Raw genomic sequence first — 20892 nt, 5'->3', positions numbered from 1 at the left:
CCAGGCAAGAGATGATGAGGATTGGGGCAGGTTAACAGTGTAAATAAAAGAACATGACCCAGGCCGGTGCGGTGGCTCACGCCTGTAATCCCAGCACTTTGGCAGGTCGACACGGGTGGATCACGAGGTCAGGAGTTCAAGACCAGCCTGGCCAAGATGGTGAAACCCCAGCTAAACTACAAATATTAGCCAAGTGCGAGGGCAAGCACCTGTGATCCCAGCTACACGGGAGGCTGAGGCAGGAGAATTGCCTGAACCCGGGCGGCAGAGGTTGCAGTGAGCCGAGATTGTGCCACTGCACTCCAGACAAAAAAAAGAAAAAGAATATGACCCAGGCGAGTCTCAATCACTTTAAGAGGTTCACTTGCCAATGTTAAGAACGTACTTGGGGAAAAAGAACACATAACCACAGAAAAATCAGTGGTCCATGTTTTTTTTCTTTTTGAAGCTCCTTTTCTTATGCTATGTTCCCAAAAATTTGGGAAACAAACACTCAGCACCCACACTGAGGGGCCAAATCTCCCCGCTTCTACCCATCTGTTGAATTGAGACGTTAGATGGGCCCGTCTCGAGGGCCCTAACAGCTCAACAGTCGTGTGACGCCATTTGGCCAAGCTTGCGGGGCTTCAAAATGCAGTTTGAGACGACAGGAAGCAGGTAAGGAGAGGGAAGCCAGTCTGGAAGGAATTGAGCGGAGAACGTGGACTAGCCTGGTTAAACACTTGTCCTTAGCCTTCGCCCTTTCTGTGTCTAAAGACCATCGCTCTGAAACCTTGTTCTCCTGAGAGTGCTGGGGTCTTCTCCGGGCCTTCTGAGGAGCGCCGTTCAACGGCAGCAAAGGGCCCACGGAGTCCACTGGGGCTCCAAGCAATTTTTTTTTTGAGACGGATTCTTGCCCCGTCGTCCAGGATGGAGTGCAGTGGCACGTTCTCGGCTCACTGCGACCTCCGACTCCCGGGTTCAAGCGATTCTCCTGCCTCAGCCTCCCAAGTAGCTGGGACTACAGGCACCCGCCACCATGTCCTGCTAATTTTTGTATTTTTCGTAGAGACGGGGTTTTGCCATTTTGGCCAGGCTGGTCTCGAACTCCGGGACTCAGGTGATCCTCCCGCCTCGGCCTCCCAAAGTGTTAGTATTACAAGCGTGAGCCACCATGCCTGGCCTCCAAGCACATTTTGTTTCTGTATTAGCAACAGCTGTGCTCGGCCAGGGACGGTAAAAATATACGGTTCAGAAAATGCACCTCAGTGTGAACCAAATGTAGCTGAGGGCACTTTAACCTGGAAGGGACATCGCCACCTCACAAACTCCGGAAAGAAAGGGACACGGCTCTTCCATCATGGCTGCCGGAGACAGAGCAGCGAAAGGCAACGGAAAGGAAATGGCGCCGGGGCCCGCCGCCATTCTCAGCGGGCCCAGGGCGGTGGGGCGAGAGGGCTGGCGGCGCCATATAGGAAGGCCAGCCACGGAATTTAAGACCCTCCCGGCCTCTGGCGCCAGAGGACTCTGAAACTTGATAACAATATGGAGGACGGTTATTGTCTCTGCAAAGCAACTTCTTCAAGCCGGCCGCGGGGTCTGTACCGAGATCGGAATCAGGCAAAATCCTCTATTCTCTAAACAGAATGCGTTACGCATACTGCGCATCTTAGCAACAGCAGGCCGGCTAACGACGCAAAGAATGTTACGTCGCACCAGAGGCGCTTCCTCCCACCTCATCCCACGTTCTAGTTCGGGTGGCGCGAGAACTCTACGCTCGCTCCGTACTTTGTTTTTCTTGTACAGACCGCAAAATACACCCATCGTCGCAACTGACGTAAAGTGCTTCCAAGAATACCCGTAGTTCCCCGCGGAGCCCTCGGGCTATTCCGAGGCGCTGTTTACGTATCGTCTCCGCCGTACGCAGCGTTAAGTTGGAGCCGACTCAGCGGCGGCCGCCATTTTGTGCAGTCGCTGGGAAGGAAGGAGACGCCTAAACCGCGGCACTGCCCGGTTTGAGCGTAGCCAAACCTGCCCACCGGCTTTGTAGCCCCGATTCTCTGTGTTTTGCTCCCGTCTCCGACGAGAGAGGCGGCGACGGTGGCGTCTGCGACGGGAGACAGCGCGTCGGAGCGAGAGAGCGCTGCGCCTGCCGCCGCCCCAACAGCGGAGGCGCCGCCGCCATCGGTCGTCACCAGACCGGAGCCGCAGGCCCTCCCGAGCCCGGCCATCCGTGCCCCGCTCCCAGATCTCTATCCTTTTGGGACCATGCGCGGAGGAGGCTTTGGGGACCGGGACCGGGATCGTGACCGTGGAGGGTAAGGGTGGGGGAGGAGAGGAGAGGCCTGGCGTGGGGGTGGGGGAGTTGCTTCTTGGGGAGGCCCGGCGGACTGCGAGCCTGGGAGCCTTGCTCTCGACCCGGGAGGCGAGGGGAGGCGACTCGAGGCGAGACAGCGGTTTCGTGCGCGGACCTCGGCCCCGGGGTCACTCGGGACCCGAGGAGGGCGGCCGCTTGGCGACGCTGGGCCTCTCCGTGCGGACGGCCGTCGTGGCGCGGCCCGGCCCCATCCCAGCCCCGCGGGGGATCGGGAGGGGCGGCCTGGCCGCATCAGCCCAGGCCCGGGCTTTGGCGCCTCGCCTGGTTTCCCGGCTCTCGAGCCGGGCCGCTTCGGGCGGGCTGTTCGATGTCTCCAGGCCTCGGCGTTCATCTGAAAAACGCGGATCTTCCTGAGAGAACACTTCAGCCCAGGAAAGCCTTACACGAAATGGCACCCTTGACGTTCTCTCCCCAGAGTTCACTGTTTAAGGCACGGGAGACGAAAAGACCAACTTCTCATTTTTAGAAATAGATTTTAATTCTCTTCAGTTATATTTTAAGTCGGAGGAAATGCATTGGGATGTAAAGCAGTGGAGTTGCTTGCCATCTAAATGACCGTGTTTGGGGGAAGGATGGGTTTTTGGGTCGTTACTTTAGTTTTAATCTTAATATTTCAGCCTTTTTTCTCTAATTGGACTGCAGCGTCAACTATTCTGCCTCGCTAGAAAGTTCTTGGTATTGTGGACCGGGCGTGGTGCCTCAGGCCTGTAATCCCAGCGATTTGGGAGGCCGAGGCGGGCGGATCACCGGAGGTCAGGAGTTCGAGACCAGCCTGATCAACATGGAGAAATCCCGTTTCTACTAAAAATAACAAAATTAGCCTGGCTTGGTGGCGCATGCCTGTAATCCCAGCTACTCGGGAGGCCAAGGCAGGAGAATCGCTTGAACCCGGGGGGAGGAGGTTGCAGTGAGCCGAGATCGCGCCATTGCACTCCAGCCCGTGGCAAGAGCGAAACTCCGTCTCCCCCGACCCCCCCGCTTCCCCAAAGAGTTACGTGACGCCACTTGATATGTGTGTGTGTGACCTTGGTCAAGATCCTACCTTTTGTGAGCCTGTTTCCTCTGAGGAACGTGATAATTGCCTTTACTTTGCTGTGTTGTCAGGAATTAAGAGATAATGGATGTAATAGTCTCACTGTAGTAGGCGCTCTGTTAACGATATTTTCTCCAAACGTTTTTGTCTTTTGTGGTTCAGATCCACAACTGCTGGATTTACTAGTCTCAAGCACTTCAGTTGCCACTTTTTACAAAATTATTTTGATTTATACCTTATTAGGAAGGAAAATATTTTATCTCATTGTTTAGAGGATGAGAGGTGGAATGTTTGCTTCGCGTGTGACAGTATTGCTAAGTTTAGAAGTGAATTTCAGTTCATTGACTTAGAAAAAGAACTTGAGATTATCTAGGAAAGTTGAAAACGACCCAGCAATTCCTCCCTAAGCTTTATACCCTAGACTGTAATGCCTAGAGAAATCCTTGCACAGGTACCCCAGGATCCTTGTACAGAAAAGTTTATATACCAGCATTCGTGCTAACAGGATATTGGAAACAACGCAAATGTCTCCATAAATTGTGGGTATTCGTACAATTGAATCAGCCGTGAAAAAGAGAAAAGAACTTGGATTAATGTGGATAAGTCACAGAAGTGTTGAGTTAAAAAGCACGTTGTGGTAGGGTGACACATTTAATTAAGGATATGTGCAAATATGATAGGAAAGGGAGTGGTTAACAAAATTCAAGGTAGTGGTTATTAGGGTGAAAGTTGTAAGCTTGAAATAGGCACATAGAGGGGCTACAAGTTACTAATAGTGTTCTATTTCTTTACCATTGGTGTTTGGTTTAATATTTCCTTTCACCATATATATGCTTTAATAAGTTATTTGAAAGGAAAAAAGTGAATTACTGATCCATACTTTGAGTATCAGATGACATTTTTTAAAAATTTCAAACGAACTAGCCTTCTTTCATAAGATCTGTGCCCCAACTCTCCCTTTCCCAAGAAATGTTCTTGATTATTTGAATTGCTGTTGTTTCAACTGAGTGTTACACAGTTGAAGTGGTGGTTATTTTGAAAAAGGAATAGGTGAGGTCAGTTCATGTATTTCACATGTGTGATGCAAAAATGATAGGCATTGTACATTTGAAGTAGTATGGTTTTTAATGTTAATATATGACTTCAAAGGTGAATTTTTTTGTAAAGCCAAATTAAACTAATTACTGACCGGATAAAAACATTTGAGCAGCATAGTATACCAGAGAGTACAGTGTGCGTATTTAAAGATGGCATGGATATGCTCAAAAGTAAAAGGCTTTCTTGAATTTTGAGGTCATTAATTATGTCAGCATTAATTATAAACATGGAAGACGGCATATTTTCCAAGAACCACATGTTTCAAATTAAATGTTTAGTGTAGAATAGAATGTCTTGAATAAATAGCCAGGGAAGTAAGGAGAGAGGAAAAAAAAATACATGAATGATAATCATCAGTTTAAAGCCTTAACAGGAATCTTACTTTCAAGTTTTATTTTTTCCTAAGTCACTAAGGTTTGGGTAGCATTGCAATGTGGCAATAACAATGAAGTCTTTTATAATTTGCAAGAGTGATAATCCAAAGACTTTCTACCTCTTGAAAAGTACCTTATTTAGCTGCTTCATTTGCAAGTGTGGCGGGAGCGGCAATTGAGGTGGCCTTTTGGTCTGTTCAGTATTGAGTCTTAAGCTGAGGGGCATATTAAATATGTCGCTGACACGGGTATCCCTATGCTATGTGCTCTTCCTGTTCTGATTCTTAATTTGTCTTCACTGTCTCAGTAGTGGTATAAATGGAATTAGCCAAGTTCTGCCTGTTGAGTGTAGGTATCCAGTGATCCCAATAAAATCTCCTGCCATCAATTTTTGTTACGTATGTATTTAGAGGAATGTCTGGCTGGTTAAGCCAGAGTTCTAATGGCTTTGAATTGCAGGAAATTGAGGCCCTGTAGAATAATACACCTACTTGCCTATCAATGATAAAGTGGAACTTTATATAAGATGAAGTTACAAGTGGGTTAGAGTGGGAAAAGGGAACTAAATTCAGTACAATATTTTACAAGGAGTAAAGAAACTGAGAAAATGCTATACAGTTTGTATGCCAAACAAAGACCTGTACTTTACAAGATCGAAATAGGGAAAATTAAGGCCATCTTAGTGTTAAGATTCTTCTAGGAAAAGTAGCTTCTGATTTCTTAAATATTAGCTTTGGCTAGTGGTCATATTTGTATTCCTCTTGAGCTTGTCTGTTGTGAAAGGTATATAAAAAGCAAGAAGTTGATCTTAAGTAATTAGTTGAGTGTTAAAGCCTTAAATAAGTCTTGTTAGTGTTTTTTTCTCTGTAAATTAATAATACCATTTGGGAACAAGAAGGAGATAGAAGGTAAAAGTAGAGATCAAAGAAGAAGGAAAGGTCATAAATCTATGTTCAGCTTTTTTTTTTTTTTTTTGACGGACCCTCCCTCTGTCTACCAGGCTGGAGTGCTATGGTGCCATTTCAGCTCACTGCAACCTCCGCCTTCCGAGTTCCAGCGGTTCTCCTGCCTCAGCCTCCCAAGTAGCTAGGGATTACAGGCGTGCACCACCACGCCTGGCTACTCTTTTGTGTTTTTAGTAAGAGACAGGGTTTCACTATATTGGCCAGGCTGGTCTCAAACTCCTGACCTCAAGTGATCCACTGGCCTCCGCCTCCCAAAGTGCTGGGATTACAGGACTGAGCCACTGCCCCCGGCAGGCTCAGCTCTTTTATTAGCGTAAGCTAAAAATGAAGACCAGTCTACCAGTCCTTTCCAAGACCCAGTTTTGCTTTGCAGATAAGCAGACAGGTGGAGTGCTTATCACAGTTTAATAGGGGAGCAGGCCCAAGAAGCTATTCTAAGATTGAGGGACTTGCTTGGAGTGTATCTTCCTTCTTGTCCACAATCTTCCCTTTAATTGAAACTTAACTTAATGTCATCCTTTGCCTGCATGTCTGTTACACAAAAATAGAGACTTGTGTCTGTTTTGTTTAGTAACTCCAGCACAGCACCACTTCAAACAGTAGCCGATACATACTTGGTACCTAGTAACTTGGTACCTAATAACTATTTGTTGAATGAAATGATGCTAACTTGTACTGAGTGCTGGCTATGCCAGATACTTTTATAGTACATTACACATTATTAGGTCATTTTCTCAGCAGCCTCTGAAATAAGTGGTATTATTTCTACTTTGCATAGGAAACTAAGGTGTGTGGAAGTTAAATAATTCTCTTCAAATTATACAGTAAGTGGCAGAATAAAAACTCAAACCATGTCTGGATCCAGAATCTGTGATTGTAATCCCTAGGATGTATTTCTCTCAATAAAGGGATTTTTAATTTTTTGCCTATTGTAGCTATATTCATAAACAGTATTTATTGTTGGGTAGTAAGGGAGGTTTTACACATTTCTCCATACCTTTAAATCACAGCAAATAAAATGGTCTTTTTGGAGGTAGGCTGGTAGTATCCCTAGAACTCCATCCTTTTTGAATATTCTTATGGCATGTACGATACGTTGCTTTAAAAATACTGATGAACTAACTAAAAATTCTGTTCCTAGATTTGGAGCAAGAGGTGGTGGTGGCCTTCCCCCGAAGAAATTTGGTAATCCTGGGGAGCGTTTGCGTAAAAAAAAGTGGGATTTGAGTGAGCTCCCCAAGTTTGAGAAAAATTTTTATGTGGAACATCCGGAAGTAGCAAGGCTGACACCAGTAAGTTTACATGTGTGTTTTAATGTACAGATTATTGAACCAAGTAGATATATTGGTTAGAGTTTATTCATACGCTACTGTTGCCGTTTTACATTTTATTCTAGTGTGGTGATATTTTTCTTAAAAAATTTTTTGGTTAATTTTTTTTTTTTTTTCCTTTTTGTAGAGACCGGGTTTCGCCATATTCCCCAGGCTGGTCTTGAACTCCCTAGCTCAAGCAAACTACCTGCCTCAGCTTTTCAAAGTGCTAGGATTACAGGCGTGAGCCACTGCACCCAGCTGATTTTTTTTTTTTTTTTTTTTTTTTTTTTTGAGACGGAGTTTTGCTCTTGTTGCCCAGGCTAGAGTGCAATGGTGTGATCTTGGCTCACTGCAACCTCCGCCTCCTGGGTTCAAGCGATTCTACTGCCTCAGCCTCCCAGGTAGCTGGGATCACAGGCACCCGCCACCATGCCCGGCTAATTTTTTGTATTTTTAGCAGAGATGGAGTTTCACTATGTTGGGCAGGCTGGTCTCAAACTCCGGACCTCGGACCTCAGGTGATCGACCTGCCTCAGCCTCTCAAAGTGCTGGGATTACAGGCGTGAGCCACCACGCCCAGCCTCTTTTTATTTTTGAGACGGAATCTTGCTCTGTCACCCAGGCTGGAGTGCAAGAGTCAGGGTTTCACCATGTTGATCAGACTGGTCTCCGTCTCCTGACCTTGTGATCTGCCCGCCTCAGCCTCCCAAAGTGCTGGGATTATGGGTGTGAGCCACCATGCCCAGCCTTTCTTACATTCTTATCTAAGACCCCTAATACTCATAAAAGGGGACCAGTTTAAATATGCATTTAATTTGTTCTCTTGTTGATAATGCTTACTAATCTGTTTATTATACATGATTGAAATATTGTATATTAGGTCATGTTTTTTCATCTGTTAGTGAAAAAGATAGATTGGCTTTTTTTTTTTTTGAGGTGAAGTCTCACTCTGTCCCCTAGGCTAGAGTGCTGTGGCATGATCTTGGCTCACTGCAACCTCTGCCTCCCAGGTTCAAGCAATTCTCCCACCTCAGCCTCCCGAGTAGCTGGGATTACAGACATGTGCCACCACGCCTGGTTCATTTATTATTTATTTTTTTTTTTTCAGTAGAGACGGAGTTTCACCATGTTGGCCAGGCTGGTCTCAAACTCCTGACCTCAAGTGATCCACCCACCTCAGCCTCCCAAAGTGCTGGGATTACAGGTGGGAGCCACCGTGCCCAGCCAACATTGTCTCTTCTTGTACCTCATTACCATTGTTTTTTGGACTCTACACATGAAATGGTTACTCTTTCAGAAGAAAGTGTAATGGAAAGAGTACTTGGGTCCAAGTTCCACTTTTTTTTCCTTCTCATTCTGACCTTGAGCAAGTTACTTATCTTTTTTCTCCTATAGAAAATGGAACTCTTAATCACCTACATCATTAATTAACTTACAAAGTAAGTAGGAGCCTTGCAGAGTTAAAGTGATACACATGAAAGTACCATGTAAACTATTAAATATTTGCCAACATAGCTGTGGACTGGATAATTGCTCAGCTAGCTTGGAACATAAATTCTGAATGTTTAGAATAACTAGTTTACTAACTTCTTTCATTTTTTTTCAATAGTATGAGGTTGATGAGCTACGCCGAAAGAAGGAGATTACAGTGAGGGGGGGAGATGTTTGTCCTAAACCCGTGTTTGCCTTCCATCATGCTAACTTCCCACGTAAGTGTTCTTCAATCTAGAACCTTAATTTGTTAAATTGGGTTGAATGGGAGACAAGGGTAGTAGGTTAAACTCTTTGAGCCAGGCTTGGGGTTTTGTTGAAAGGACAAGAGATTGTTTTTATGGTCATCAGTTCTGTTCTAGTATTTAGACTGAGGTTTTGTTTTTGTTTTGTTTTTTTGAGGTTTTTGTCTTTTTCTAGGGTTTTGCCCTCTGCCTTTTAGAAAACAGCAGAATGAAATTGCTTTCTAGCTGGATATAATGTGAATTTGCTAAACAATAAATGACTACCATGTTCCCATGTCCTGTTAGATGCTTTAGGGTAATGGTTTTTCAAATTTCTGGGAGAGGTAGACTATTGTAGCAGCTTTTGTTTGTTTGTTTTTGGAAACGGAGTCTCAACGTTGTCACCCAGGCTGAAGTGCAGTGGCGCGATCTCAGCTCACTACCTCCTCTGCCTCCTGGGTTCATGCGATTCTGCTTCACCCTCCCGAGTAGCTGGAATTACAAGGGCCCACCACCACTCTGGCTAATTTTTGTATTTTTAGTAGAGACAGGGTTCACCATGTTGACCAGGCTGGTCTGGAACTCCTGGCCTCCACTGGCCTCAGCCTCCCAAAGTGATGGGATTACAGGCGTGAGCCACCTAGCCTGGCCCTTAGAAGCTAACAGTGAGTTGGTCGGAGATCTAGTAGATAAAGAAAAAGCACTTTGGAGAGATGAAGCTGGGTAAATCTTATCTTCAGTGAGCTTAAAAGTTTTTTTAAAAACTCTTGGTTTGTGTCTTTAAACACAATAAAATACGCAAAATAAAATTCTCTTACAGAATATGTAATGGATGTGTTGATGGATCAGCACTTTACAGAACCAACTCCAATTCAGTGCCAGGGATTTCCGTTGGCTCTTAGTGGCCGGGATATGGTGGGCATTGCTCAGACTGGCTCTGGGAAGACGTTGGCGGTATGTATGAGCAAGAGAAGATCCTTGATATTGTGGTAACTTATTTTGCTATTCTAGTTGTCATACGTTCTCAGTTCTTCGTAGAAGTGCCATTCAGATAGTTAGATACTATTTTAGTTATTAAATATATGGAAGCATTTTATGTTCAAATTTGTATTGCTTCCTGTATATAGCAGTGGTAAGTTCTGTTTTTCACTTTCCTATTTATGCATTAATTCAGTAATTACTAAGTATCTAAGTAAGATTGTACTTCTAAGCGTAAGGTTGTCATTCTTTCCCCCCTCCACAGTATCTCCTGCCTGCAATTGTTCATATTAACCACCAGCCATACTTGGAAAGGGGAGATGGCCCAATCGTAAGTGTGTTTCAGTTTCTTTGTAATTCTAAGAAAAACTACAATTTAGCGACTATTTAGGCTTGGTGCTTTACATTATCCATTTGTACTCTTAACCACACCCTCCATAGGTGGAAATGGTTTCATTCTCATCTTACTTGGAATTAAATGACTTACCCAAGATCACTCAGCAATTGAATAGCTGAGCTTACATTTGAACCAAAGTCTTACTCTTAAAGAAACCATGCATGCTGTATGGGCATTTACTGTGCAGTAAATCAAGTGTTTTCTGGTTTTGGTGTGGTTTTTTTTGTTTTTTTGTTTTGATTTTTTGTGTTTTTTTGAGATGGAGGTTCGCTCCGTGTTGGTCAGGCTGGTCTCAAACTCCTGACCTGAGGTGATCAGCCCACCTTGCCCTCCCAAATTGCTGGGATTACAGGCATGAGCCACTGCGTCCAGCCTTCTTTCTTTTTTTTTTTTTTTTTTGGAGATATATTCTCACTCTTGTTGCCCAGGCTGGAGTGCAGTAGCGAGATCTCAGCTCACTGCAACCTCCGCCTGCCAGGTTCAAGCCATTCTCCTGCCTCAGCCTCCCGAGTAGCTGGGATTAAAGGCGTGCACCACCACTCCCAGCTAATGTTTGTATTTTTAGTAGAGACAGGTTTGCACCATGTTGGCCAGGCTGGTCTGGAACTCCTGACCTCAGGTGATCTGCCTGCCTCGGCCTCCCCAAGGTGCTGGGATTACAGGTGTGAGCCACCGCGCCTGGCATTGAATGTGTACTTTTTTTTTTTTTTTTTTTTTTTTTGAGATGGAGTTTCGCTCTTGGTTGCCCACGCTGGAGTACATTGGCACAATCTCGGCTCATTGCAACCTCCACCTCCTGGCTTCAAGCGATTCTCCTGTCTCGGCTTCCCAAGCAGCTGGGATTACAGGCATGCGCCGCCACACCCAGCTAATTTTTGTATTTTTAGTAGAGACGGGGTTTCACCATGTTGGCCAGACTGGTCTCGAACTCCTGACCTCAGGTGATCTGCCTCGGCCTCCCAAAATAATGGGATTACAGGTGTGAGCCACCACGCCCGGCCTACTTAACTTTTTTAAGAAATAAGCTTGCATTTGTCCTATATATTTATGAACATGTACAATATGTCTCAAGATATTCACAAAAAGAAATAATGCAGTACTTATAATACATAGTATATGTCTGACAGCATTATTATTAGTTGATATCTAATGGATCAGTATATAAAGCAAGTTTCATAATTTAATTTGAATGGTATATGATACCTTGATTTTTGTATTATTTGGCCAGATTGTACACAGTCTTGTCAGATTACATGTAAATTTTCATTGTTTTTGCCTTATCTACCTGGTGATGTGCTTAAATTAGAGGTCAGGAATGTGTCATTCTGCCAGTTTAAGTCAGGATGACCATCCAAAATTCCAAATTTTAGGCCAGGCATGGTGGCTCACACCTGTAATCCCAGCACTTTGGGAGGCCAAAGTGGGCAGATCACATGAAGTCAGGAGTTCGAGACTAGCCTGGCCAACATGGGGAAACCCCCATCTCTACAAAAATACAATAATTAGCTGGGCATGGTGGTGCCTGCCTCTAGTCCCAGCTACTCAGGAGGCTGAGGCGCAGGAGAATCATTTGAACCCAGGAAGCAGAGGTTACAGTGAGCCTTCATTGCACCACTGCACTCCAGCCTGGGCGATAGAGTGAGACTTTGTCTCAGAAAACAAAACAAATCCAAATTTTGAGGACCAATATGATCCTCAAAGTAAATGCTTGCTGGAGCATTTTGGTTTTGGGGGTTTAGGATGCTCAACCTGTAAATGAGAGTTGTATACTTAAAACCAGGTAATACAATCTATATCTCCACTTAAACAGTATATATAAACTATAATGATTGATAATGTGTCATAGTAAAAGTGACGAGGATACCAGTATCATTCCAAATGCTAAACATGAAGTTCTAATAATTTTTTTCTATATTCCATTGTGCTAATATTCCCCACTTCTGATCTTCACCCCATCACTTTTAATGTGCTAGATTAGACAGCAAAGAATTAAATTAGCTTTTTGTATTTTGTTTCTTCTTTTTTTTTTTTTTTTTTTTAAACCTTGGATGAGGTCTCAAGTGTCTTTTTGTTGGTTTCAGTGTCTAGTTCTGGCTCCTACCAGAGAGCTTGCCCAGCAAGTACAGCAGGTGGCCGATGACTATGGCAAATGTTCTAGATTGAAGAGTACTTGTATTTATGGAGGTGCTCCTAAAGGTCCCCAGATTCGAGACTTGGAAAGAGGTAATAATATATAGTGTAAAAGAATTGTTAGTTTATCTTACTTTACCAATTCCTGTGGAGGAAATTGGAGAAAAAAAGTGGGTTCTTGTGATAAACTCAGAATTTCAGCAGCTTAGAAATTCTCAGATGTGACTAAAACAGCTATTTTGAGAGAGAAGGTTCAGCATGGCTGGAAACTTTGTGAGGATTTGGTGATTGTACATAAGTCCTGACATGGTTTTGCGGTTACTTTGTTAAAATTTAGCTTCTCTGGGCCAGTGCGGTGGCTCATGCCTGTAATCCCAGCACTTTGGGAGGCCGAGGTGGGCGGATCACGAGGTCCAGAGATTGGGACCATCCTGGCTAACATGGTGAAACCCCGTCTCTACTAAAAATACGAAAAATTAGCCAGGCGTGGTGGCAGGTGCCTGCAGTCCCAGCTACTGGGGAGGCTGAGGCAGGAGAATGGCGTGAACCTGGGAGTCGGAGCTTGCAGTGAGCCGAGATCGTGCCACTGCATTCCAGTCTGGGTGACAGAGCAAGACTCCATCTCAAAAAAAAAAAAAAAAATAGCTTCTCTGCAGCATTGAGTACAGCCACCAGGGCTGCTGCTGCTGCATTTTTGTAGAGTCGGGGTCTTGCTATGTTGACCAGGCTGGTTGTGAACTGGCCTCAAGCGATCTTCCCGCCTCCTCTTCCCAAAGTGCTAGAACACAGCTGTGAGCCACTGCACCTAGTCGATTGGCTCGATCATTGGTTTTGTTTTACAGGTGTTGAGATCTGCATAGCCACTCCTGGACGTCTGATAGATTTCCTGGAGTCAGGAAAGACAAATCTTCGCCGATGTACTTACCTTGTATTGGACGAAGCTGACAGAATGCTTGATATGGGGTTTGAACCCCAGATCCGTAAAATTGTTGACCAAATCAGGGTGTGTAAAGCTAATAATAAGCAGTCTTTATGCCATTTGTCCAAGTTCCTTAGCCTGAAAGAAAGCCTTTCCTTTTTTGATAGCCTGATAGGCAGACACTGATGTGGAGTGCAACCTGGCCAAAAGAAGTAAGACAGCTTGCAGAGGATTTCCTTCGTGATTACACCCAGATCAACGTAGGCAATCTGGAGTTGAGTGCCAACCACAACATCCTCCAGATAGTGGATGTCTGCATGGAAAGTGAAAAAGACCACAAGTATGAAAGATATTTTACTCTGATTTGATAATGCTGATAAACCTTTTCTAATAACCCTCCAAAATTAGTACTGTAGAAACCAGTATATTTTGAGGCCTGAGAACATTAAAAGCATTGCTAGGTTTCTGATAATCCATCATCATATCATTTGTCAGAGCATTATGGTTAAATGCAAGGATTCTGAATTCTTGAGTTTGAAATTTAGCTCTGCTGATTACAAGCTGTATAATTTTGCACAATTTTGTGTCTTGGTGCTGCAGTTTCTTCATCTGTGAAATGGGAGTAATACCACTTACATGAGACTTGCTGTGAGGATGGTATGAGTTAGTATTTCTTGAGCACATAGCAGAACCTGACTCAGTACTCTAATAGTTATTAAAAATTTTAAAAGCGTAATGTGCAAAGAAAGTACTGTAGCCTTGGGAGTTGATATTGCAGACATAATCGTCCACATAATAACTTTCTGTGTGATGACTGCATTGTTGGTCATGTTTTCAGGTTGATCCAACTAATGGAAGAAATAATGGCTGAAAAGGAAAACAAAACAATAATATTTGTGGAGACAAAGAGACGCTGTGATGATCTGACTCGAAGGATGCGCAGAGATGGGTGAGTATAGCACCAAGGCAATTAACCTCTGGTTTTATAGTTAACTGGAAATTTCTAAATTGGTATTCCAAATGTTGTGTAATATTTCAATAATGCCTATCCATGCAGTTTGCTCTTTTAATGAGCACAGTCATCTATTCATGAAGCCTGACAAACCTTACAAAAATTGCATGATAGCATTTGGCTTTAAAGTTCGATTTTCTCCACTTTAAAAGATTTTTAAAATATTGGTCACTTTTCTTCTGATAGTTGGCCAGCTATGTGTATCCATGGAGACAAGAGTCAACCAGAAAGAGATTGGGTACTTAATGGTAAGTTTAAAACTAAGCATTTTCTGTTGATTCCCCACCCCCTGCCCATAAGTGAATGTTCATGCTCTATTTCAGGGATAGGCAAACTTTCTGTAAAGGGCCACATAGTAAGTATGCTTGGCTTTGTAAACCAAATGGTGGTCTCTGTTATAGCCACTCAGCACTGCTGTTTTAGGACAAAAGCTGTAGGCTGTAGATAATATGTAAAGAAGTGGCCTGGACTGGGCACCGTTGGTGGCTCATGCCTATAATCCTAACACTTTGGGAGGCTGAGGCGCGTGGATCACCTAGGCCCAGGAGTTCAAGACCGGTCTGGGCAACATAGTGAAATCCTGTCTCTAAAAGAAAAACAAAACAAAACAAAACTTAGCCAAGCTTGGTGGTGCACGCCTGTAACCCCAGCGACTCCGGAGATTGAGGTGGGAGGATTGCTTGAGTCTAGGAGACAGGTTGGAGTGAGCCAAGATCGTGCCACTCCAGCCTGGGTGACAGGGTGGGACCCTGTCTCAAAGAGATAAACGTGGCTATGTTCAGACAATATTTATTTGCAAAAATAGGCGTTGTGCCAGATTTGGCCCAAAGGCCAGTTTGTCTTACCCCTGTTGTATAGTTGATTGAATTACTGAGGGTACTTTTAGCGTGTGCTCATGGTTCTTTAAGGGCCACGATGCTGGCTCTTTAAACTTTTTCACAACTTTCACCACCCTCCCTTTATTAATAAAGTCTTCAATTTTTTCCTTCTGATTATAAAAATATAACTACCGTTTGGGGAGAATTAAACTGTTACTGAAATATTTAAAGAAAAATGTTTCTTAATGAGTCATATTTTAGCATATTTCCTTTCAGTCCTTTTTTTCAGGACTACTCTTAAGGGAAGCCATTGAGAAATGGAAGAGGCCATATTTTGTTTAAGAAATAAAATGTGGCCGGACACAGTGGCTCACGCCTGTAATCCCAGCACTTTGGGAGGCTGAGGTGGGCGGATCACCTGAGGTTGGGAGTTCGAGACCAGCCTGACCAACATGGAGAAACCCCGTCTCTACTAAAAATACAAAATTAGCCGGGCATGGTGGCATATGCCTGTAATCCCAGCTATTTGGGAGACTGAGGCAGGAGAATCGCTTGAACCCGGGAGGTGGAGGTTGCGGTGAGCTGAGATTGCGCCACTGCACTCCAGCCTCGGCAATAAGAGCGAAACTCCATCTCAAAAAAAAGAAAGAAAAATAAATAATATGCATACCTTTTGGGGGGAAATTCAGTTCTTTTCATTCTACATCTTTTGAACTTGTTTCCTACTGACCCCCAACTTTTGGTTGTGTCTCATTTGGGAAATAACTTTAAGGGGAAAAAAATCTAGCTCATATTAATTATGTAACAAATTGCCACACTCTCTTAACGGTATTTCATTATTAGTAGAGGTAACTATTGTGCTGCTGAATATGAGTGTAATAAAGATTTTCAAAAGAATCACTGTCAGTCATTACAAGAGCTTGGGATTTTCTGGCACCATTATTTGAAATTTTAACATGGTTATGTAAACAGATCAGATAGCAAGGAATGCTTATTTGATGATGATTATTGTTTGTTTTTACAGAGTTCCGTTCTGGAAAGGCACCCATCCTTATTGCTACAGATGTAGCCTCCCGTGGGCTAGGTTTGTATAGATAGGTGTCTCTGTCAATGGTATATGTATCTTTTGGTTTAAAGATTCGTCATTTCAAATTCAGACTTCAAGTTTAGAAAGTTGTATATACATGTGGTTAGATAAATATTTGAAAGAAAAAAATACAAAGCGTGATTCTCCCCATTCCCTGCCCCCCCCACAATTTTTTTTAACTTTGGTTTCCCCCACCCCCCTTTTATTTTCAAAGTCTCTTCCTGCTCCTAACAAACAGGCTTTGGTCTGCAGCAAGGCCTAGGCATGACTATTCAAACAGAGGGAGAGGAGACAGACAGCTGAATGGCTCAGCTTCTCTCTGGTGGTGGTTTCTGGCTGGATAGAATAAGCCTGACGAAACCTAGCTATTGTAAGCTAGTTTCTTCAGTTATTCTTTTCCCTATCCCTGTCTAAGCTAGATATATACAGAGAGGTCCAGTTTTATGAATGCTTATTAGATGGAATTTTATAAGTCTAATGCAGTATCAGAATAGCAAATATGTGTATTGCCCAGTTTAATTTACTGAGGTCAAATTATCATGGGCACTTGGCTATCCCCTCCTACCCATGCACTTATCTGTAGGTGTGTTATCAACTGATGATTTTCTGGAGTTTTTGACCCATTACCATTTAAGATATACAGAGAATTTTATGGTAGTTTAGCCCACTATTCTGAGCTAAACAGGTCTAACTCAGAACTTCTATATTTTAAAAAAAAAGATTATTTGTATTACAAGGAAATCCTTAAATTATTGACAGGTATTTAATTTGCCCAGTAAGGTGAGAAGTACCATATTATTCCCTTATACTATATAATATAAAGAGAACAGGTATTCAAACTGGAATACAAAAGTAATGAAGCCTTTTTATGCATTGCACTCATCATTCCCTCCTTCAGAGGTGGTGACCTGCAGCCATGATGGAAAGTTCTCTCTGCCCCTCTGCCCTCTGAGGTCATGTCTGGATCTGTGCCATTAGAACTTGGGCCTGTTGGGAGAGGAGGCGGAGGCCTGAAAGCAGTTTACATAAAGCTTTCAGTAATGGTTGGTTTTTAAACAGGCTTGCTATGTGCTGGTAGCTTCTTTGTGCATCTTGCCTAGACAATTAAAAATATTTGCTCCATGTCCCCTTGCATTTCTAAACCAAATTAATTGGCTACCATTAGAATAACTTAGACTCTTCATCCCACCCCCACTCATCCAAGTGAGGGGAGAGGGAAGGTACCCGAGTCTGTTTCTTGTTACTCAACATCAGTGCTTGTTTTGGGCCCCTTTGTTTGCTGCCTTGTAAAAAATCAAAAGAGGGAGAAAACCCACCAAAATGGCAGAATTCTGACCAATGTCCTACAAGATCCTGGAAAGTGAAGGCTTCTACCTCATAGACAGGGGTGCAATTTTCAGCTGAGTCACCAGGGCCTTTTTTCACTTCCTGTCAAGCGATGGTCTCTTAAATGTTCCCTTCAGGTAAGTTCTTTGATTCCCATAATTTTATAATAGTCATCCTTAGGCTACCACTTCCCTTTCCACTGGGATATTTTTTATTTTTCCTTTTTTTTGTTTGAACTACACACTGTTAAACTAAAAGTATTGAATTTATTTTGTTTTGTTTTTTAACAGAAGCTTTGATATCAGCTGCAGATCACTCAATACATGGCCGAGACAAATCTACATTGGCCGGAAGCAGCTCTAGATGAGCCTCTTGGCTAGACTTAGTCCCTCCTTATTAGTGATTGGCGATTCAGGCCATGTCATAGGGCCTTTCAGACAAAAGGTTCTTATCCCAGTCAGCTGGCCAAAACATTAACTTTGGATTTCTTACCCTGCTACAGCATCTTCTAGAAAGGCAGCAAGATAATATTGTGGCAGTGCACAGATAACATCAGGGTAGACTTGACTGGAGAAAACCAAATTCTGCGCTTGCTCCTGTGTGCCCCCATCCAGCTGTGCATGCACACACAGGACACCTTTCTAGTATGAAGAACTTGCATCATGTCTGCCCTCTATTGAGCACCCCCTTCTAGAAATACTTCCAAGTATTAGCATGTGAACTGTTGACTCCACCCTGGTGCTTTCTGCTAGGAAAGCACACTTAACGCATCCAGTGTAGTAATTGAACTTGTTCTACTGCCATGGTCATATGCAGTGGGATTGCATAAGGAGCATTATCCTAGCTCTGAAGATACCATGGAGTAGAATTCCCCACCCCCTGTCTTACATCCACCCTGGCCCTGTAAATTCTTTTTTCCTTTGTTGCGTCAACGACCCTAGCCGGAGACTCAAGCTGCCCCCTGTGATAAGTGCCTTCTCGTCTTTCTGGTGTGATTCAGGACTTTAGGGGTCAGTAAAGACCGAGGAGCCTTTATTGTAATAAGAAACAGACATAATGCCCCTTCTTCACAAGCCCTGTAACAACAGCTAATTTTTTTTTTTTAATCTCCCCTTTCTCCCTTGAAATTAATCCAGTCTGGGCAATAGATGCAGTCTGACCCTTTGGATGTAACTTACATTTTTTTTTATTAATTATTTTTTTCTACAATCACCCCAATTATCCTTGGGGGAGGCGTTGGAGGACCTGAAATTTTTACCCGAACCCAGGTTCTCCGGCGCTTGGCAACCAAATGGGGCTACAGAGAAGCATCTAAGCCAGTTCACAGAGCGAGCGTGTGTGGGGACTTCTCACTGCCACGGACCCTTGATGCATGCTCCCCGCGCTCCAGTGGTCCCGTGTCAGAAGGCGGAGTTTTCGAAAGGAGGCCGCCAAAAATAAAAGGCAAAGAGACGGGATCGGCTGCAGCGGTTTCCCAAAGGAGGAGGGAGTGTGCATCGGTCTGGTAACAAACAGAGAATGTTTTTTAATTATTTATATCACAAAAATCTGTGTTTTATCTAGGATATTTTCTGAATATTCTTTGTAAAATGCAGATTTTTTTCCACAAAACAGTAGGATTCTTTGTTATATTCTTAAAATTGTTTGTTTAAGTAGGTAAAAATATACATTCAGCTGAAAGCATTACACTAACATTTACATTTTAAGCCTTAGGAGGTTATTCAGCCCAATTCCCAGCAGTAGAGAGAATACTAAACTTGTGTCTCAAGGTTTCATGGTTTTCCCACGTTCTTTGGCTATTAATTTAATTTCCCAGGTCACGTAGACAATCATTGATAATTGAAACAAGTCCTGAGTTGAAATAACCTTGAGTTGAGCAAAAATATCCTCATTTTGGCAGAAGCTGGGCTTGGTAGTACAGTAAAATTTTAGTGTAATGTGCTCTTGTAATTGAAAGGGGATAGATAATCTGGATGTTTCTGCAAAGGAAAATAGGTGTGTACTTAACAGCTTTGGCTCTACTCAGTTTCTTAAAAAGATAAGAGCAAAAAAAGTTAAATGTTAATCAAAACATTTAAGTTTCCTTTAAATTGTAGTAATAAAATATATGAAGCTCCTTTTTTTACTTTGCTCTGTGACTGGTTTAAAGGTAAGTTTGTTATGTTGTTGGTAGATTTTGCCAGGCTTCTCCCAACAGAGTAGAAGTGATTTGGCCTCATAACTTCACAGTGGTTTACCACTTTGTTCTATGTTCTGGTTTTGTAAAGGATAGTACTGGAATTTGCGTCTGAAGACCAATATTGGTGTAACTCCTGTCAGTATATTGGTAAAATGTAGCAGAGGCAGGAGTTTGGATGTTTGGATGGGATTCCCTTAGGATTCTACAGCCAATAAAGATCCTATTTCCTATGCATGTCCCAGGAATCAGTAATCCTCTTTTACTCTGTTGGGATGAGTCTTTTTTTGTTTCTGTTCAGAGTGGTTACTAACTTCACCTTCTTTCCTCTTGCTGTCATCTGCATTCGTGCTTCCCACCTGTTGTTGGCATGTCCTTTACCTTCTCTTTCCCTGCCACATCAACCTACACACTGACTCATCATTGACGTGGAAGATGTGGAAGATGTCAAGTTTGTGATCAACTATGACTATCCAAACAGCTCAGAGGATTATGTGCACCGTATTGGCCGAACAGCCCGTAGCACCAACAAGGGTACCGCCTATACCTTCTTCACCCCAGGGAACCTAAAACAGGCCAGAGAGCTTATCAAAGTGCTGGAAGAGGCCAATCAGGCTATCAATCCAAAACTGATGCAGCTTGTGGACCACAGAGGAGGCGGCGGAGGCGGGGGTAAGGGTAAGTCCTGGAGTTTTCCAGGTACTGCCAAGGTATCTCTTTACGCCTTCTGTGACTTGCTTTTAGTTGCTGTTTTTAAGAAGGCTGTAAGTATGTTGCTTAATAGCAAAGGACACTGCCTAATGCTTTTTATAACCTTTTTCAACTAAGAAAACGTGAAGTTTGTTGTGATAGTCCTATTAGTTAAGCTAAATTGTGAATTTTTTTTTCTTAGAGACTGGTCTGAGGTTTGGTTTTGTTTGTTTGTTTGTTTTGAGACGGAGTCTTGCTCTGTCGCCCAGGCTGAAGTGCAATGGCGCGATCTCAGCTCATTGCAACCTCTGCCTCCCAGGTTCAAGTGATTCTCCTGCCTCAGCCTCCCAAGTAGCTGGGATTACAGGCACCCGCCAGCACACCCTGCTAATTTTTGTATTTTTAGTAGAGGTGGAGTTTCACCATGTTGGCCTGGCTGGTCTCGAACTCCTGACCTCTGGTGATCCACCTGTCTTGGCCTCCCAAAGTGCTGAGATTACAGGAG

At 43.4% G+C, this 20892-nt stretch overlaps 1 protein-coding gene across 2 annotated transcripts in view, besides 7 other annotated features; it reads left to right on the top strand.

Moving 5' to 3' along the window:
- Positions 1089–1980: an enhancer, noted in NCBI's record as "NANOG-H3K27ac-H3K4me1 hESC enhancer chr22:38902273-38903164 (GRCh37/hg19 assembly coordinates)". NCBI's record gives its function as "activates a minimal SCP1, AML or CMV promoter by ChIP-STARR-seq in naive H9 embryonic stem cells {active_cell/tissue: H9 hESC(naive)}" and the evidence as "EXISTENCE:reporter gene assay evidence [ECO:0000049][PMID:30033119]".
- Positions 1102–1511: an enhancer, noted in NCBI's record as "active region_19012". NCBI's record gives its function as "activates an Ori minimal core promoter by ATAC-STARR-seq in GM12878 lymphoblastoid cells {active_cell/tissue: GM12878}" and the evidence as "EXISTENCE:reporter gene assay evidence [ECO:0000049][PMID:35858748]".
- Positions 1912–2101: an enhancer, noted in NCBI's record as "active region_19011". NCBI's record gives its function as "activates an Ori minimal core promoter by ATAC-STARR-seq in GM12878 lymphoblastoid cells {active_cell/tissue: GM12878}" and the evidence as "EXISTENCE:reporter gene assay evidence [ECO:0000049][PMID:35858748]".
- Positions 1912–2872: a biological region, named in NCBI's record as "NANOG-H3K27ac-H3K4me1 hESC enhancer GRCh37_chr22:38901381-38902272".
- DDX17 (DEAD-box helicase 17) overlaps positions 1937–20892 on the top strand; it is a 22874-nt gene continuing 3918 nt past the window's right edge. The window contains exons 1-12 of one of the 2 annotated variants that reach the window (NM_006386.5): positions 1937–2297; positions 6968–7118; positions 8749–8848; positions 9675–9808; positions 10098–10163; positions 12311–12452; positions 13202–13362; positions 13446–13618; positions 14117–14227; positions 14477–14538; positions 16133–16192; positions 20133–20369. In NM_006386.5, coding sequence (NP_006377.2) covers positions 2011–2297; positions 6968–7118; positions 8749–8848; positions 9675–9808; positions 10098–10163; positions 12311–12452; positions 13202–13362; positions 13446–13618; positions 14117–14227; positions 14477–14538; positions 16133–16192; positions 20133–20369 — 1684 coding nt within the window. In that variant the 5' untranslated portion in view covers positions 1937–2010. Of the gene's footprint in view, positions 2298–6967; positions 7119–8748; positions 8849–9674; positions 9809–10097; positions 10164–12310; positions 12453–13201; positions 13363–13445; positions 13619–14116; positions 14228–14476; positions 14539–16132; positions 16193–20132; positions 20376–20892 lie in introns of both variants that reach the window. The other variant, NM_001098504.2, reaches the window with a different exon arrangement.
- Positions 1981–2872: an enhancer, noted in NCBI's record as "NANOG-H3K27ac-H3K4me1 hESC enhancer chr22:38901381-38902272 (GRCh37/hg19 assembly coordinates)". NCBI's record gives its function as "activates a minimal SCP1, AML or CMV promoter by ChIP-STARR-seq in naive H9 embryonic stem cells {active_cell/tissue: H9 hESC(naive)}" and the evidence as "EXISTENCE:reporter gene assay evidence [ECO:0000049][PMID:30033119]".
- Positions 2192–2461: a silencer, noted in NCBI's record as "silent region_13722". NCBI's record gives its function as "represses an Ori minimal core promoter by ATAC-STARR-seq in GM12878 lymphoblastoid cells {active_cell/tissue: GM12878}" and the evidence as "EXISTENCE:reporter gene assay evidence [ECO:0000049][PMID:35858748]".
- Positions 2492–2661: a silencer, noted in NCBI's record as "silent region_13721". NCBI's record gives its function as "represses an Ori minimal core promoter by ATAC-STARR-seq in GM12878 lymphoblastoid cells {active_cell/tissue: GM12878}" and the evidence as "EXISTENCE:reporter gene assay evidence [ECO:0000049][PMID:35858748]".

This window comes from Homo sapiens, chromosome 22 (genome assembly GCF_000001405.40).
Source record: "Homo sapiens chromosome 22, GRCh38.p14 Primary Assembly".
Taxonomy (NCBI): domain Eukaryota; kingdom Metazoa; phylum Chordata; class Mammalia; order Primates; family Hominidae; genus Homo; species Homo sapiens.
The sequence above is the reverse complement of the archived record's forward strand: the minus strand, read 5'-3'. Positions and strand labels throughout refer to the sequence as shown.